Source organism: Homo sapiens, chromosome 10, assembly GCF_000001405.40.
Source record: "Homo sapiens chromosome 10, GRCh38.p14 Primary Assembly".
Lineage (NCBI taxonomy): Eukaryota > Metazoa > Chordata > Mammalia > Primates > Hominidae > Homo > Homo sapiens.
The window spans coordinates 26,293,416-26,309,535 of NC_000010.11; the positions used below are offsets into that span (position 1 = coordinate 26,293,416).

Genomic DNA, 16,120 nt, shown 5'->3' on the forward strand with positions numbered 1-16,120 from the left:
GATCTGCCCACCTTGGCCTCCCAAAGTGCTGAGATTACAGGCATGAGCCACTGTGCCCGGCCTATGCAGACTTTTAACAACTCTATTTGCTTGTTTTCTGAGAGTGAGTTTATGATGTCTTGAAAGAAGTAGTCAGGCGATAACCTTTGCTGGCATTCACAAAGCAACAAGGACGTTGCTGAAGTTCATTGATGTTCCAAGTGAAACTGGTGCTCAGTTACAAGCACAAAAGAGACTTTAGGTACCAGAAATGGTTAGCAAACAACGCTGCTGCTGACCCTCTTGAGCTGCCAAGGTCAAGGCTACCCTGGGTGTGTCCTTAGAGCTGTGGTGACCCCTAGAAGGTAAGAGGGCAAAGAGCAATAATAACAGCCACTGTTTTGAGTGTGCATTGTGTCCCAGCTCAATATCAGGTGTTAGGTCACTTAAAGCCTCAGAGCAACCTGACATGGGAAGGATTGTCCACCCATCTTGCTGATGGAGAAACTGACCCACAGGGAGAAAATGTAACTCCCAAAATCTCGCAGAAAGTCTGCATCCGAGCCTAAGGGCTTGAGCTTTAAATGGTACTGTGGTAAGACACCATTAATCTTTCATCCTCTCCTGCTCCCAGCACTTATACATGGGTGAAATGGGGTTTACAGTGCACATCGAAGCGGGGTATATGCAGGACCTGTCCCCCATTCGAAACTAGGGATGGTCATGTAGACTTGGATCTCAGAGTTGATTTGGTTGGTTTGGGGGTTCTTTTCATTTATCATAAAAGAGGGAACCTCCTCCAGTCACTGCCAAGAGCCCCGCAGGCTGTCCCCTCACTGCTCAGGAGCTTGGGCTGTCTCACTGACCTTTGGGAACACTTTAGTTCCTTCTACGTAAAATGAAGAAGAGGATTTTGTGTAGATATAAAACCTTCACTAAAGCTTTTATGTGTTAACATCTGTCCTTAAGCAACCCAAGATCAAACTCCTCATCGGGAGGAAACTTCCATATGGCTGAGGTCTTTAAACCAAGCCTCCTAATTAGAGTAGTGATTTGCAATCCTGGCCATACATTAGAATCATCCAGAAACTTCATAAAAGACACTAGTGACCAGGTCTCACCCTGAAAATGTAATCAGATTGTGCTTGGATGGGCCTGGGAATGATTCTGGAAGTTATCTAGATGATTCCAATGTGCACCTCAGCTAGAGAACCCCTGATCTAGAGGAAAAAATGGAAGAAAGCTTCTAGAACCAGGATCCGTGGTGCATGTGTCTGAGATGGAAGGGGCTGTGGTTGTGTTTGATGATTTCGTGAAGTTGGTTCATTCCAGGAAATCAAGCCCACAGGGTGGGAGGGAATGAGTAGAGGTCGCATTGGATAAGATGATCGGTGCAGGCAATAACAACGAGAATAGGGGGTGCGGGTGTCTGCTGTCATTTGAGAGGAAAAAATTCTTATTTTTCCTGGAATTTTTATGGTATACCTTCATAATGTAAAATTTCTTAACAATGACTTATTTAACCAGTTAGAAATTAGATGCCTCCATTCTTTTTGGCTTTCACTTCCTTATTGAACTGACTGGCCAGAAAGAGAATCCATGGACTAGTTTGGCTGATTTCATTTGTTGAATCAGTCCATTATCACTGGGCTGAGGGATGGAGCAAGATGGGAATACAGAATAAAAACTTTTTTTTTTCATCATTTTCTGAACAAAAGTCAACTTGGAGGCTCCCCCTTTTAAATATCACTCTTCAAATGCCTCCTAGGTTTCAGCACCTCATATGAGCTGTAATGAAGAATGGGGATGGAGATTATTTCCTGGAGATGGCAATTAGAATATTAGTAAACTGTTTTTATACTGTTGACAATTCAAATATGAAAATCTCCGGGGATTGCAGAATGAATTCTCCTGATTTTTCTCCAATTTTATTACTGTAATCAAGAGAATTCAGCAATTCAGATTTGGAAATGAAAATAGAACCACATGAATACCAAGTTTAACTTTTGTTCACGTATGCCAATGATTTTTTCAGACTTTCTGGAAAGTTCTTTATTAAGTGTGACGCCCTTAAAGTATCATGTCCAGGAACCAGTAAAATATTCATACGCATGCACACACACACACACACACACACACACACACACACACACAGTCCCAGAGGGAAAAGAACTGAGGTGAAATAATCTATGCTGTCCAGTATGGTAGTAATAGCCACATGTGGCTATTCATATTTAAATTTAAATCAATTAAAATTAAATTCAACCAAAAATTTGGTTCTTCAATCACACTAGCCACATTTCAGTCACTCAACTTGTGCCCAATGGCTGTTTTATGGGACAGTGCAGATATAGAACATCTCCATCACTGCACAGAGTTCTGTTGGTCCAGGCCGATATAGACTCAAAATTTGGGGAAATGCAGAGTTTCCTGTGCAGTTTATGTGAACCAAAAGAACAAAGTTAAATTCTGGACAAGACAAGGCAGAGAAATTACTCTGTACCATCTTGCCTGATTCATAGCTGTAGTGCACAATAGGAACTCAAAAATCGTTTGTTGAGCTAAAATTGTATCTTAGCGTGGTTGAGCTGCAAAAACAGACTAATATAGACTGGGTAGCTTATAAGCACAGAAATTTATTTCTCACTGTTCTAGAGGCGGGGAAGTCCAAGATCAAGGTGCCAGTAGATTCCGTGTCTGCTGGAACCCCTACTTCCTGGTTCGTCAATGGCCTTTTTCTCCCTGTATCCTCACATGGCAGAAAGAGGTCAAGGGAGCTCTCTGGGGTCCCTAAGACTGTGCCTTCCTGAACTAATCACCTACCAAAGGCCCTATCTCCTAATATCATCACATTGAGGGGTTAAGATTTCAACATATAAATTTTGGGAGGACAGAAAAATTCAGTCTATAGCAAATACCTTAGGCATATTCCAGAATAAGGAAGGGAAACAACATTTAGGAAACCTAATAGTGGCTCATAAGCCTTTTTCCAGAGTGCACTATTTGGGGACAAATATCTGGATAACAGAAGTTATTAATAAAGCAAATACAGTCATATCTTCATGAGGGTGGTAAACACGAGAATCCAGTCAGTGTGCTTCCTGCTGCTCTGTCAGGACTATGATCTTGCAGATGGCGCTTTGTCCCTGAGGCAGTGCAGATGATGAATGCTTGGGGCACTATGAGGATGTGACGCCACACACATGCCTTGGACACAGGGAGGGGCAGCAAGTGGGCTGTGCCAATGTTTACCAAACAAGAATCAAAAGGGCTGGTCTATTGATCACCTCTTGTGTTTCTGGTTCTTTATCTTCTTATTTTAATTTTTTTTATTCTTGATCATTATCTGGTTCTGTCAGCTTTTATAGTCCTACACTGATTGGAGGACTTTTCAAAGGTTAGCAGTGGATTTAATACTAAATTTGTAAGGAAGTAGCCTGGACTTATATTTAATACAGACTCTTTGAAAGTCTGTGTTATTAAGTGCAATAGAGGATTTAATTGGTGAAATTTTCGCATATTAGAATTTTTTTTTTTTAAGACAGGGTCTCACTCTGTTGCCCAGGCTGGAGTACAGTGGTGCCATCTCGGCTCACTGCAACCTCCACCTCTCAGGTTCAAGTGATTCTCCCACCTCAGCCTGCCGAGTAGCTGGGATTACAGGCACACACCACCACACCCAGCTAATTTTTATATTTTTTGGTCAGGACAGGGTTGGGACGGGGTTTCACCATGTTGGCCAGGCTGGTCTCGAACGCCTGACCTTAAGTGATCGGCTCACCTCGGCCTCCCAAAGTGCTGGGATTACAGGCATGAGCCACCAAGCCTAGCCAACAGTTTAGAATTTCTCATTTAATTATTCTGCTTTTACATTTTTCAGAAATTTCTCGCAGTCTTCCAAAATGTAAAAACAAAGAGGTTTTCTAAGACATAGTGAAAAATACATTTCTGTGATATCTTTTAAGTTTATTTCATAATGCTTTACTATGCACCCTCTTTGAAAGGGACAAATGTGGATTCCAATTATGGAAAAGTCGCCTGGTTATTGCTTTCTAAAGGACTGAAAAAGCTAATGGCACAAGAGAGAAGACAATACCCTAAAATTATTAAGGCAGGCCCAAAGAGCTCTTGTTGACTATACCTTTAGCGAATTCTTCAACATGCAACCACTCTTTCTCAACTTGCGTTCTTTATTTAGGAAAACTAGGAATCCAACCAAAAAGTACAAAAGCCTAGAAATAAGTGAAATCTCTATGTATTTCATCCAAAAGACCACTGGGATGGCTAGATAGTAGAAAGGAGAGCTTTATTGATGATATCAGTTTGCAAACTGGGAAGAGACAGCCTCCAGCATGTGTGGAAGGTGCCCTCTCTTCCAAGAGAGGAAGGGCAGGTTGGGTTTTATGCCTCACAGGGCCTGTATCACACAGTAGAGTCATACATATTCAGTAGGTTTTGGGGGAAAGCTATCCATATTTATGAGGGGAGCTGAGCACATGCAGAATGAGTAAACATATATGTAACATACATCCCATGTTTACTTCGGGGCAGGGTTTTAGTGTTAGAATGAGGTGAAATTTGGCTCTTCATGTCAAAAGGTGAACTGTAGGACATAAACACAGTTTGTGCACCGCATCTATAAGCTGCTAAAACTGGCTTAAGGTCTGCAATTGCTTACCAGGAAAGAATGTGTGTAAGGTCAGTCTTCTGTCTAGTCAGAGTTATAGTGGTCTGGTTAGTAAATCAGGGTAAGGAGGGGGTCTCATAGCGCCTATTGTTAGGGAATTTCAATCATTAGGAATTTAGTAATTTGCCCTCCAGCCAGGCCTTGAACCCTGGACCCATCTTAGTTGATATAGGAGTGTCTATTTTGGCCCCACAGATCACATATATTCATCAGAATAGTCCGAATCTTATTTTCCTTCTTAACTTGCAATGAGTGAATATACAACGAAGTAGATGTTCATGTTCCGGCTAATTTTAGTTCATCAGCATTTTCTGGAAGCAACCAAAAGTCATATGTATTTAGACAGCTGTGATTTCTGCCAATTCAGCTTGCTTCGGGAACTGAGGGGATTCAATCTTACTTTATGCCCAAATCTGTTTGCTTGTGGCTGTTAGCATTAATCTTTTAACCTTTGATTTGCATTCATCTGAAAAGCTAGAGATGATTGTCCTTAATAATTAGTGCCATTCTTCTGTATTTTTGCTTGGATTACCCATGAAAACTAAATGAGACTTTAATTTACTGAGTAAAGCTCTGTCATTATTTTATCAGTTCTAAAGGGCAAGCGTGATTTATTATACAAATAAAACTAAGGAATGGTTATGTGACTTGTCCTTAAATTCCTGCAGCCAAGTGGATTTGGAATTCCTTTTCTAATCTGAGATTTATCTTCGCAGGAACCACATTGACTTGACACGCCTCACAACACAAAGGATAAATTCCATGCCCCTTTGGCTGGAATATGCTAGTAGATCTATTTTCAGAAGTTAATCTCAGATTTGAGATATTTTAATTCTTCTTCTTATTTATTCCCTGGGATGAGTCCAGTGCTCTGCATACATTCTTAATGCTTTAGGTGAAAGAAGGATCAGGCCAAGAGAAACATTCCTCCCCATGGAACAAGGGGTGGGAAGGGATATAAGAACTCAATGTAGAGTCAGAAGATCTCAATGCTGGAATCATCCACGTTCATTTTTAGAGAAGGAAATTAGGTTCAGAATGAGAAGTGAAGGTGAAGTCTACCTGTTGACCTTGTCTTTGGTAACTAACAAATGATTGGACCCAATGGGAACATTGCTATTTTATGCATTGGATACTTTGAAGATGAAAACTTCATTATAAACCAATGATTATTTAAGAGTTGATATTTATAAGTCACATGTTCATAACAGCATTCCATTTGAATTGAACTGTCTATTTAAGATAAATCCAGCTGTGATAGAAGGCATGGTCTCCATTTTGAACCGGGTTTCTGACCATATGAAACTCAAAGAAGTCTAAAAGTTTCTCTGATGTCTATCTACCATTTGCAGAAATGAAGATCAGATATTATATATTTACAAACTCCAGTGGTAAATATATGTGGATAGACTGTATGTACAGTTAGACATGATTTAAGTTTTTGCTTCTTCCTAGATAGCTGTTTCTATTATGCTACTCTTTATAGCAATAAGAACTTAGGAATCCCCCAACATGAACCAAGCACTGTGCTGGTAAAGAACAACAACAAAAACAGTAGAAGACACTGTGTCTGCCCTCCAGGACCTGACAGTTGAGGTAGAGAAAGAAAATGTATTTGCTTGAAAGTAAGAGGATAGTAGGAAATTAGCATATAGTCAGAATCTATGGGGAAGGATCATGGATGATATGTTTACAGCTTAAAGGAAGAGAGCTACTGATGGACACTAGAAGTCAGGAAAGGCTTCATAGCAGTTGTAGGACTGTGGTGGAATCTTGAAGTGTGTGTAGGATATGAACCAGAAGAGAAAAGGGATGGATTCTAAGCACAGAGAACAAGTATGACATAGTAACACTGATGACAAGTGTGAAGGGATAAAAATACATATGGTAAATTCAAGAGATATTTAATAAAGGAGTCTTGTCAGAGTTGAAGATTCATTTTGGCAAGTGGTGGAAGATGAGGCCTCATAAATGGATGATGAAAGGTCTTTGCACTGAACTAGAGTTTAAACTTAATTTCATATACAATAGAGAGCTACTGAGGCTATAATCAAAAATCTGGCATAAATAGAGTATAATCTCGTCTGTGGTATGCTATCCTGTCTGTGATATGAAACATATGTTAAGTCCTTGTGAGTTCAGCTTTTTGTCCCAGCTAATTATCATCATTATTAAGGATTATCTTTCAAAATATCTTATAAAGTGAGGCACTGCAAAGAGAGAACGAAAAGAAACTAGAAAGCTCTGGGGTTTCAAGAAAGTTGCCAAAAGTCTGCTTATCTTCATATATCACCTGACACTCAAACTTACATTTTGGTAACAATCCTCTGAACTGTTTATTTCCAATGTTTTTACATTTACTGTGGGGGGAAAATGCCCCCAAACGTCTTGCTAACCCATTTAGCTTGGGGCCAATACTAGATTCATCCCATCCTCCCAAAACACTAACTGGAAAGTCAAGGACAAGGTGGCAGGCAGCTGATAGTCTATCACTTATTATTCCTCTTATCACTTGCAGGATCTTGAATGTGTTAGACTGTTCTAATTCTCTGATCCCAAGAAAACTTGGAGGTAACTCTTTCAAGAGAAAACAATAAGGTTCTGACTGTTGAGCTAAAAACTAAAGACGCTGCTTGCTGTTGGGTTCTTTGACTCAGGGGAGAGTCCCAGGAGAAAGTCACCATGCTGATATGGTCTGTCCCACAGGTGGCTCCAGTGATTAAAGCCAGAATGATGGAGTATGGAACCACAATGGTCAGCTACCAACCCTTGGGAGACAAGGTCAATTTCTTCCGCATGGTCATCTCAAACCCAGCGGCAACTCACCAAGACATTGACTTCCTGATTGAAGAAATAGAACGCCTTGGACAAGATTTATAATAACCTTGCTCACCAAGCTGTTCCACTTCTCTAGGTAGACAATTAAGTTGTCACAAACTGTGTGAATGTATTTGTAGTTTGTTCCAAAGTAAATCTATTTCTATATTGTGGTGTCAAAGTAGAGTTTAAAAATTAAACAAAAAAGACATTGCTCCTTTTAAAAGTCCTTTCTTAAGTTTAGAATACCTCTCTAAGAATTCGTGACAAAAGGCTATGTTCTAATCAATAAGGAAAAGCTTAAAATTGTTATAAATACTTCCCTTACTTTTAATATAGTGTGCAAAGCAAACTTTATTTTCACTTCAGACTAGTAGGACTGAATAGTGCCAAATTGCCCCTGAATCATAAAAGGTTCTTTGGGGTGCAGTAAAAAGGACAAAGTAAATATAAAATATATGTTGACAATAAAAACTCTTGCCTTTTTCATAGTATTAGAAAAAAATTTCTAATTTACCTATAGCAACATTTCAAATGTATTTAAATACATATAATTTTACAAAAGGAAAATATATATATTAAAAAAGATATCCTATTTTGTAACATATAGATTTTTATTTTATATAGGTTATACAAACTGCGGGGGCAGATATAAAATCTAAGCCAGATTTTTTTTTCCTTTCTCTTAATGGAGGCACAATAAAACACTTAGCAAAGTTATTTTGAAACATTGACCCACGAAATTCTTAAAAGGTATTATTGCTTCTTTCTATACATGTTATGGCTTATCACATCTCTAAAGTTAGTATTTCAAGACAAACACAAAAGAATACTGCGAGTTCTTTAAAATAATTGATCCCATTGGCAGTAAGATTCTCTTCCCCTTTAAGTTTTCCACCCATTTTACTCTTAGCGGACTCACTCTGCAAGCGTGACAAACCAGGCTTCATCTCAGATTAAATTAGGGTAATTGTCTCTATTCTGCTTTCCAGTTCGGCCTGTTTTGAACAGAAGGTTGATGCTAGTTCTTGAGGCATCTTCCAAATAGTATTCTTTTATTAGGTCATTTGAATTAATTAGAGAAAGTAAAAATAAAACCTTATCAGCCTGAGCAAAGAGGAATGAAGCACACTCCCAGAATGTGGTGAGCCCAGAAAATTAAAGTTGGCCTTGGGAGAAGAGATCTCTGTGGGACAATAATGACATCATCCTGGCGCCATATTGCCACTGTCCAGGAAAGAGAAATTTACCTCCAGGCCAGTTGCGCATTTCCATCCCCTCCCCATTCCTCCCCACAAAGTCTCTCCCACTAGACTCCCTACCACTGGGACCCAAAATAGTTACTTTATATTCCATGGGTGGTTGTTTTTCTTCCATGAAATGAGCCTCTCACCCTAGATTTTGAGGCATTATCTTAAGATTTTCCTTTATCCATCTCCCATCGAGATCCAAAGTGACCAGAATATGCAGAAATAATAAGATCCTTAGAATTCAAAATAGTATTTTTAAAACATCCTTCTTTCCCTGTGAACCTGATAGAAAAACATGAGCTAACAAAAGCTTCCATAGATATTTATGGGGTCACACATCGTCAGATTCCAAGTGCTGATTGGAGAACAATAGATTGATATGCAGACTGCAAATGCAAATTTAGGAACATTCTCCATTTCTGAATGGACCAGGTAGTTCAGTACTCAGACTGCAGGTATACAAGGGAAGAGAGAAGGCCCTGCCCTTCAACGGGTAGAAATGCCCTACAATATAACATAGAGAAATGCCCTATAATATAACCACAGGATCCAGCCATCTGAAATTTTCATAAGCTTCCCCCTACATTATTTCTCCTAGGCTATATGCAAAAACAGTGATAACTTGATATGAACATGGCTTTGGGCCCTTTCTGTCTAGAAAAACAAATGGGTTCACTATGACAATCAGAAATAAACTCTTTCATCTGTCCCGCAGAATTTCATGAAGGAGTAACCTTCCATTCTAGGCTTTGTCTAATGGCCAAGCATTAGACAAAGCATTAGAAAGCAGTTCCTTTCTCAAAACTGCCTGCTGAGAATAAGCACATAGCTGCCCGACTATCCGGAGCCTCAGGCCCAAAGGTTCCACTTCAGAGACAGAGATGCTAATTGATCCAACCTGCTGTCCTTCGTGGAGAAGACAGTGGGGCCCAGTGCCCTGGTGAACCAACCCTGCTGTACTCCAGGATGCTTTATCTTTTGAGTTACAGATCCTAGATTATAAACTGCTGCTTTTTAGGTTAATGAGATGGTAAAATTTTAAAGGACAATTTGTGCCTATATATGAAATTCCAGCAAAACAATTCTAGCAACAACAATAGCTCTTCTTCCCCGCTCCCCTACCCCTTCCCAGTACTCCTTCAAATTGGCTGAGAGCCTTGCTCAGGCCTGTGCAGGGAAATCCTTACCAACTGTAGCCCAAAGAAGGAAGCAAATAAAAGCCTAGTAGGTCCCAGTAGTTTAATAAATCATCTTGAAAGGAGATGTGGAATCAGGTCAGAAGAGAGTAAGGGAGGAAGGGAGGGAGGGAGGGAGGGAGGGAAGGAGGGAGGGAGGAAGGAAATGAAGGGAGGGAGGGAGGGAGGAAAGAAGGGAGATTATTTTTAATATTAGCCCAAATTCCCAGTGCCATGGTCTTTATGTGTGCCCATTCTTTACAAATCTTAGAAAAGTTTGGTTTTAGCTTTAATCAGAACTGACATGGCCATTTTCATTTATACAGCAATATTGTGTTTATCATTTAAAATACTTGAACAAACAAGTGTGATATGTCTTTATCTGAGACCTATACATGGTATGGACTTCATATACTGCCACAGGATGTGAGGAAAGAAAAGGAAATCAATTCTGACTGTGTTGCCTTTATTATCTGGATAATACTGTCTTGTCACCTCAGATTGGGGTTGTGCACTTTAGATCTGAACTGTACAGTGTTGCAAATCAACATGTGTTTCTGTAAAAGCTTGTACAATATATTATTGATATGTCTTTTTCTGTGTGGTAGCTGTATTGAACTTTGATATTATGAAAACTACATTTGCATCTGTTCCTGTTCTCTCTCTCTCTCTCTTTCCTAACTATATGCCCTCCACATCGGCTCTAATAGAGAACATGCCCTCAGCTAAGCCCCCTACTGAGAAACTTCCTTTGAGAATTGTGCGACTTCACAAAATGCAAGGTGAACACCACTTTGTCTCTGAGAACAGACGTTACCAATTATGGAGTGTCACCAGCTGCCAAAATCGTAGGTGTTGGCTCTGCTGGTCACTGGAGTAGTTGCTACTCTTCAGAATATGGACAAAGAAGGCACAGGTGTAAATATAGTAGCAGGATGAGGAACCTCAAACTGGGTATCATTTTGCACGTGCTCTTCTGTTCTCAAATGCTAAATGCAAACACTGTGTATTTATTAGTTAGGTGTGCCAAACTACCGTTCCCAAATTGGTGTTTCTGAATGACATCAACATTCCCCCAACATTACTCCATTACTAAAGACAGAAAAAAATAAAAACATAAAATATACAAACATGTGGCAACCTGTTCTTCCTACCAAATATAAACTTGTGTATGATCCAAGTATTTTATCTGTGTTGTCTCTCTAAACCCAAATAAATGTGTAAATGTGGACACATCTCAGCCTGTGGATAATTGTTTTGACTTTGTCTTATAGTGGAGATGATTTTCAACAAATTGCTAGAATCAAAGGCCCTTCACTTGTCAAGGAGCTTAAAGTGTCTTTGGGTCTTTTGTAGGGAAAAAAAAGCTCTTCTGCAGCTGCCCACACTGTAGCTTCTGAAGGATATCTTTGTCCCACTCTGATTTCTCCTTCAATCAGATCTGATATTTTTTTAAAAAATATTTTATTATGGAAAATTTCACATACATAAGTAGGTAGAGAAGATAGTATAAACTCCTGTGTAGCCTTCACCCAGATTCAACATCTACTGATTCTGAACCTGAATCTTGTTTCATCCATTCCCCCACCCCTCTCCCTCCCCAACACTAAATTATTTTTATCTGAACCTCTAAGAGATTAGGAATCTTTTTTTTTGTTTTTGTTTTTGAGCCAGAGTGTCACTCTGTCACCCAGATGGGAGTGCAGTGGTGTAATCTCGGCTCACTGCAACCTCTGCCTCCCAGGTTCAAGTGATACTCCTGCCTCAGCCTCTCAAGGAGCTGGGATTACAGGTGTGCACAACCACGCCCAGCTAATTTTTGCTTTTTTTTTTTTTTTGAGACAGAGTCTTGCTCTGTCATCCAGGCTGGAGTGCAGTGGTACAATCTCCACTCACTGCAAGCTCCGCCTCCTGGGTTCACGCCATTCTCCCGCCTCAGCCTCCTGAGTAGCTGGGACTACAGGCATCCGCCACCATGCCCGGCTAGTTTTTTTGTATTTTTAGTAGAGACGGGGTCTCACCATGTTGGCCAGGCTGTTCTCGAACTCCTGACCTCAGGTGATCCACCTGCCTCGGCCTCCCAAAGTGCTGGGATTACACGTGTGAGCCACCGTGCCTAGCCTGGACTCTTAAAAAAAAAAAGTCCTCAATACCATTATCACAGCTAAAAGTATAGTAATATTACCATAACAATGTCAAATATCCAACTACTGTTCACATTTTGCCAATTCTTAATTTCATAGCAAAGCCCATGGCCTGTGGCTCAGAAAATCTGGTGAGGCTACGTGTTTCAGGACAGCGGAGACATCTACAATTCAGGCACACAGTACAACGCCATATATGCCCCACTGTGCATATGCTGTGTGTATTTTCCAGTGTGCTGAGTCTATTTCTGGACTTCTGTGAGTTGCAAGTTCTGGTCTTGTGTTCAGGGGCTTTGCTCCCTGGCTCTCAGGAGCAGAGGCTAAGAGGTGTGCTCAGGTTAAAAGCTAGAAAACCGTAGGAATTTAACAGATGGAATAGATATGCCTGATGTGCCTTGTCGGGTGCCGGTTGCCCGACAGGCTTGAGTTGCCCCTAATGGTAAAATTCTGGATGGAGTAAAGAGATACGATTTTAAACAGAGATGGGATACAGGCGGACAAAAAGGAGAGAAGGCTGAATTTCTAGCTAATTTCGATATTGATTATAGGAGAACCAGTAGAAGATAGCCAGATAAAGAGGACACTGCACATTCCTGCCTTTGTTCACATTATTCCCTTGGCCTAGGAAGAATTTTCCACTTCTCCACGGTTTGGGGAGCATCTCTTGTAGGTGCTAAGAGTGCAGGCTCTGGAGTAGGATCACTGGGGATCTAATCACAGTCCCACACTGACCAGCTGTGAGACCTGAGCACATCACCTGACTTCCCTGACTGTTTCCCAGTTTCGCAACAGCAATTGTCAGAGGTGTTTGAACCAGAGCAACTCCATCTTGAATAGGGGCAGGGGAAAATGAGGCTGAGAACTACTGGGCTGCTTTCCCAGATGCTTAAGCCATTCTAAGTCACAGGATGAGAGAGGAGGTCAAGACAAGACACAGGTCATAAAGACCTTGCTGATAAAACAGTTTGCAGTAAAGAGGCCAGCCAAAATCCACCAAAACCAAGATGGTGATGAGAGTGACCTCTGGTCGTCCTCATTACTACACTCCCATCTGCACCGTGACAGTTTACAAATGCCACGGCAATGTCAGGAAGTTACTCTATGTGGTCTAAAAAGGGGAGGCATGAATAATCCACCCCTTGTTTATCATATTATCAAGAAATAACCATAAAAATGGGCTACTGTCTATGAAGTAGCCATTCTTTTATTCCTCTACTTAATAAACTTGCTTTCACTTTATGGACTCACTCTGAATTCTTTCTTGCGTGAGATCCAAGAACCTTCTCTTGGGGTCTGGATCAGGACCCTTTCCTGTAACACAGCCTTCTTCATGATGTTTTTGTGTGGATTCAATAACATGGATGCACAGCACTTAGCATGGTGCTTGACACCCAGTAAGTGCTCAACAAACCTTGTGCTTGTACTGATGATGAGTTCTGTAAGTCAACTCACGTCACCTCCTTAAATATTTACCCTCCTCTGAATTCCCCAACTACTAACTCTCCATCAGTAGTGGTCACTGGGCACCCACCTAACAAGTCCAGCCTGGAAATGTCATCTTTGGCATCATCTTCTGCTTGTCCAATGTAGATTACCAACAGAGTCAGCTAACATCGCTCAGATTTGCTGGCTAAAAGAACTGCTGCCTACTCCAATTAGGTGAACACACCTCTCTCTAAATTTAAACCCAAGGCAATGTTCAGTTCAACTCGGTGTTTGCCATCTGAGACAACTCTGTCTGAAGCTTCATAGGTGTTTTCCATTAACAGGGCCAATCAGAGCCGTCTTACTCTTTTAATTTACTTGCTTATCAAAACACGCATACATGAGTATGTGTATATACATATATGTTATATATATGCACATATATAGCTATATAGTTGAAAGTGCACATGGACACACCCACTATAATTTAATGGACTTGGTGGTCCAATAATAACATTATAATTTATTTCAATTATTGACACAAAACAGGAGCAAACACCAAAAGATCAATAGCTCAGAGTTCACGTTTAGAGAGAACTAGAGTGGTCCATTTCCCCAAAATTAAACAGTAATGCTATAAAAACACACTGTGAGGATGCGGGTGGTTCACAGGCGTAACAATCTATGTCTATGAAATGGAGAGGCTTGGGAGAGAGGAAAGGCCTGGAGCAGAGCAGCTGAGGAAGGGAGCAGGCTCTGGGGACTAGCCCCATATCCCTTCCCCATCCTGCCCACTCTCCCTTCATCCAGCTCCCTGTTCTTCCAGCCCCCGAGCTGTTGTTTCACCGGTGATCTCTAAGGAAAATGTAAAATAAAAATTGCTTTTAAATGGTAAAGGAACTACAAATGAAATTGCCTTTGCAAACATTGTAACAGTGAGAAAATTATGACAGCGAAAGAGATTTGATCTGACCAATCCTCATCTTGCCTGTAATCTCCAAACTGCCCTTCATCATTCCTGGGCTTGGACCAACAAACTTTGGGAGAAATTTAGTTTATAGTTTAAATGATAATAGCCTCCCCAAAACTAAACCGCCTTTGTAAAGCTAAGGAAAGGCCACCAGGTTAGGAGGATGAAAGGACCCTGAATTCTGCTAAGGTATAGACATAAAGGATTACCAGCCATTATTCCAGAAGTCCTAAGATTTGCAACTCCTCCAATTACTACTGCAGATAACATTACTATTGTAGAACCTGAGACTGGCCTTTTGAGATGTCTTTTCAGGTTTTTGCGTTTCTGACAACCCATGGCTCCATCGGAACCCACCGACCCTGACCCTGCTGAGCCATCCTGCAGCCCCACCTAGAAGCAGACTCCCTGGCCCTCCAAACTATCCTTGAAAAACCCTAGCCTCTGAATTTTCAGGGATATGGATTTGAGGATTAACTCTGTCTCCCACGTGGTGTGGCCGGGCTTGTGTCCATTAAACTCTTCATTGCAATGCTGTGGTCTCAGTGAATTGTTTTCTTTTTTTCTGTGTAGTGAGCAGGAAGAACCCATCGGACGGCTCCACAGATGGACAGTTTTTGCCACGGGGAGAGCAGATGGTTGCGTGTGAAAGACAGTATAAAATTTTTGACAAGAGGGGAAGAGAGACAGGGTGGATAGATATAAGCTAAAGACGAACTAAATGAAAATATTCACCTGGACCTTGCATTCTCCTCCACTGAGGGACGCTGCTGGCCTTCTTCCAGTCCTGGGCTCTCTGAGGCCCCTCCCAGTAGCCCAGTCTAAAGGGGATGCTCGCATTTGCCACATCTCTCCCAAGAAGAAAATACCTAGTTAAGAGACCTGACTGCATTTACCTATCCCATAAAGCCTTCCTCACTTACCCTTAACGAAACATACTGTGCTTGAAACATTAAGTCTGTGTAATCCTGTCACTCCTGGCATCTGTATTGCCTAGAATTGTTCTCCAGCAGTTTGCCATCTGTAAATCTGGTCTTTCCATTTTTCTTTGAGGGCAGAGACATGCCTTCCAGTCACAGACTTAGACAGCTGGAAATACCCTTGTCGACTAAAAGAGTCAAACTCTGTAAAATATTTGAAGAGATTTATTCTGGGCCAAATACAAGTGACCAATGGCCCGAGATACAACCCTGAGGAGATTCTGAGAACATGTGTCCAAGGTGGTCAGGCCACAACTTGGTTTCATACATTTTAGGGAAACATAAGATATCAATCAATACATGTAAGATGCACAGTGGTTCAGTTCAGAAAGGTGGGACAACTGGAAGCAGGCAGCCATAGTTAGATTCAGAGATTTTCTGATTGGGAGTTGGTTGAATGAGTTAAGTTATTGACTATAAGACTTAGGAATGTCTGGATTAAGACAAGGGGTTGTGGAGACCAAGGTTTTATCATGTAGGTGAAGCCTCCAGGTAGCAGACTTCAGAGAGAGACTAGATTGTAAATGTTTCTTATCAGACTTAAACAGTCTGATCTATCAGTAATTCCAAATGGGAAGAGGGCTTAATGAGGCATGTCCGACCCTCCCTTCCCATCATGGCCCAGACTAGTTTTTCAGGTTAGGTTTGGAATGCTCTTTGCTGAGAGACAGGGGTCTATTCAGATGGTTGGGG

General features: G+C 41.0%; 1 protein-coding gene across 2 annotated transcripts in view; it reads left to right on the forward strand.

Annotated features, from left to right (window-relative positions):
- The window catches only part of GAD2 (glutamate decarboxylase 2), an 88,187-nt gene extending 77,044 nt beyond the window's left edge, over positions 1-11,143 (forward strand). Inside the window, exons 16-17 of one of the 2 annotated variants that reach the window (NM_000818.3) lie at positions 7,373-7,580; positions 10,619-11,143. In NM_000818.3, the coding sequence (NP_000809.1) occupies positions 7,373-7,546 (174 nt within the window). In that variant the 3' untranslated portion in view covers positions 7,547-7,580; positions 10,619-11,143. Of the gene's footprint in view, positions 1-7,372 lie in introns of both variants that reach the window. The other variant, NM_001134366.2, reaches the window with a different exon arrangement.
- Positions 11,144-16,120: the final 4,977 nt, after the last annotated feature.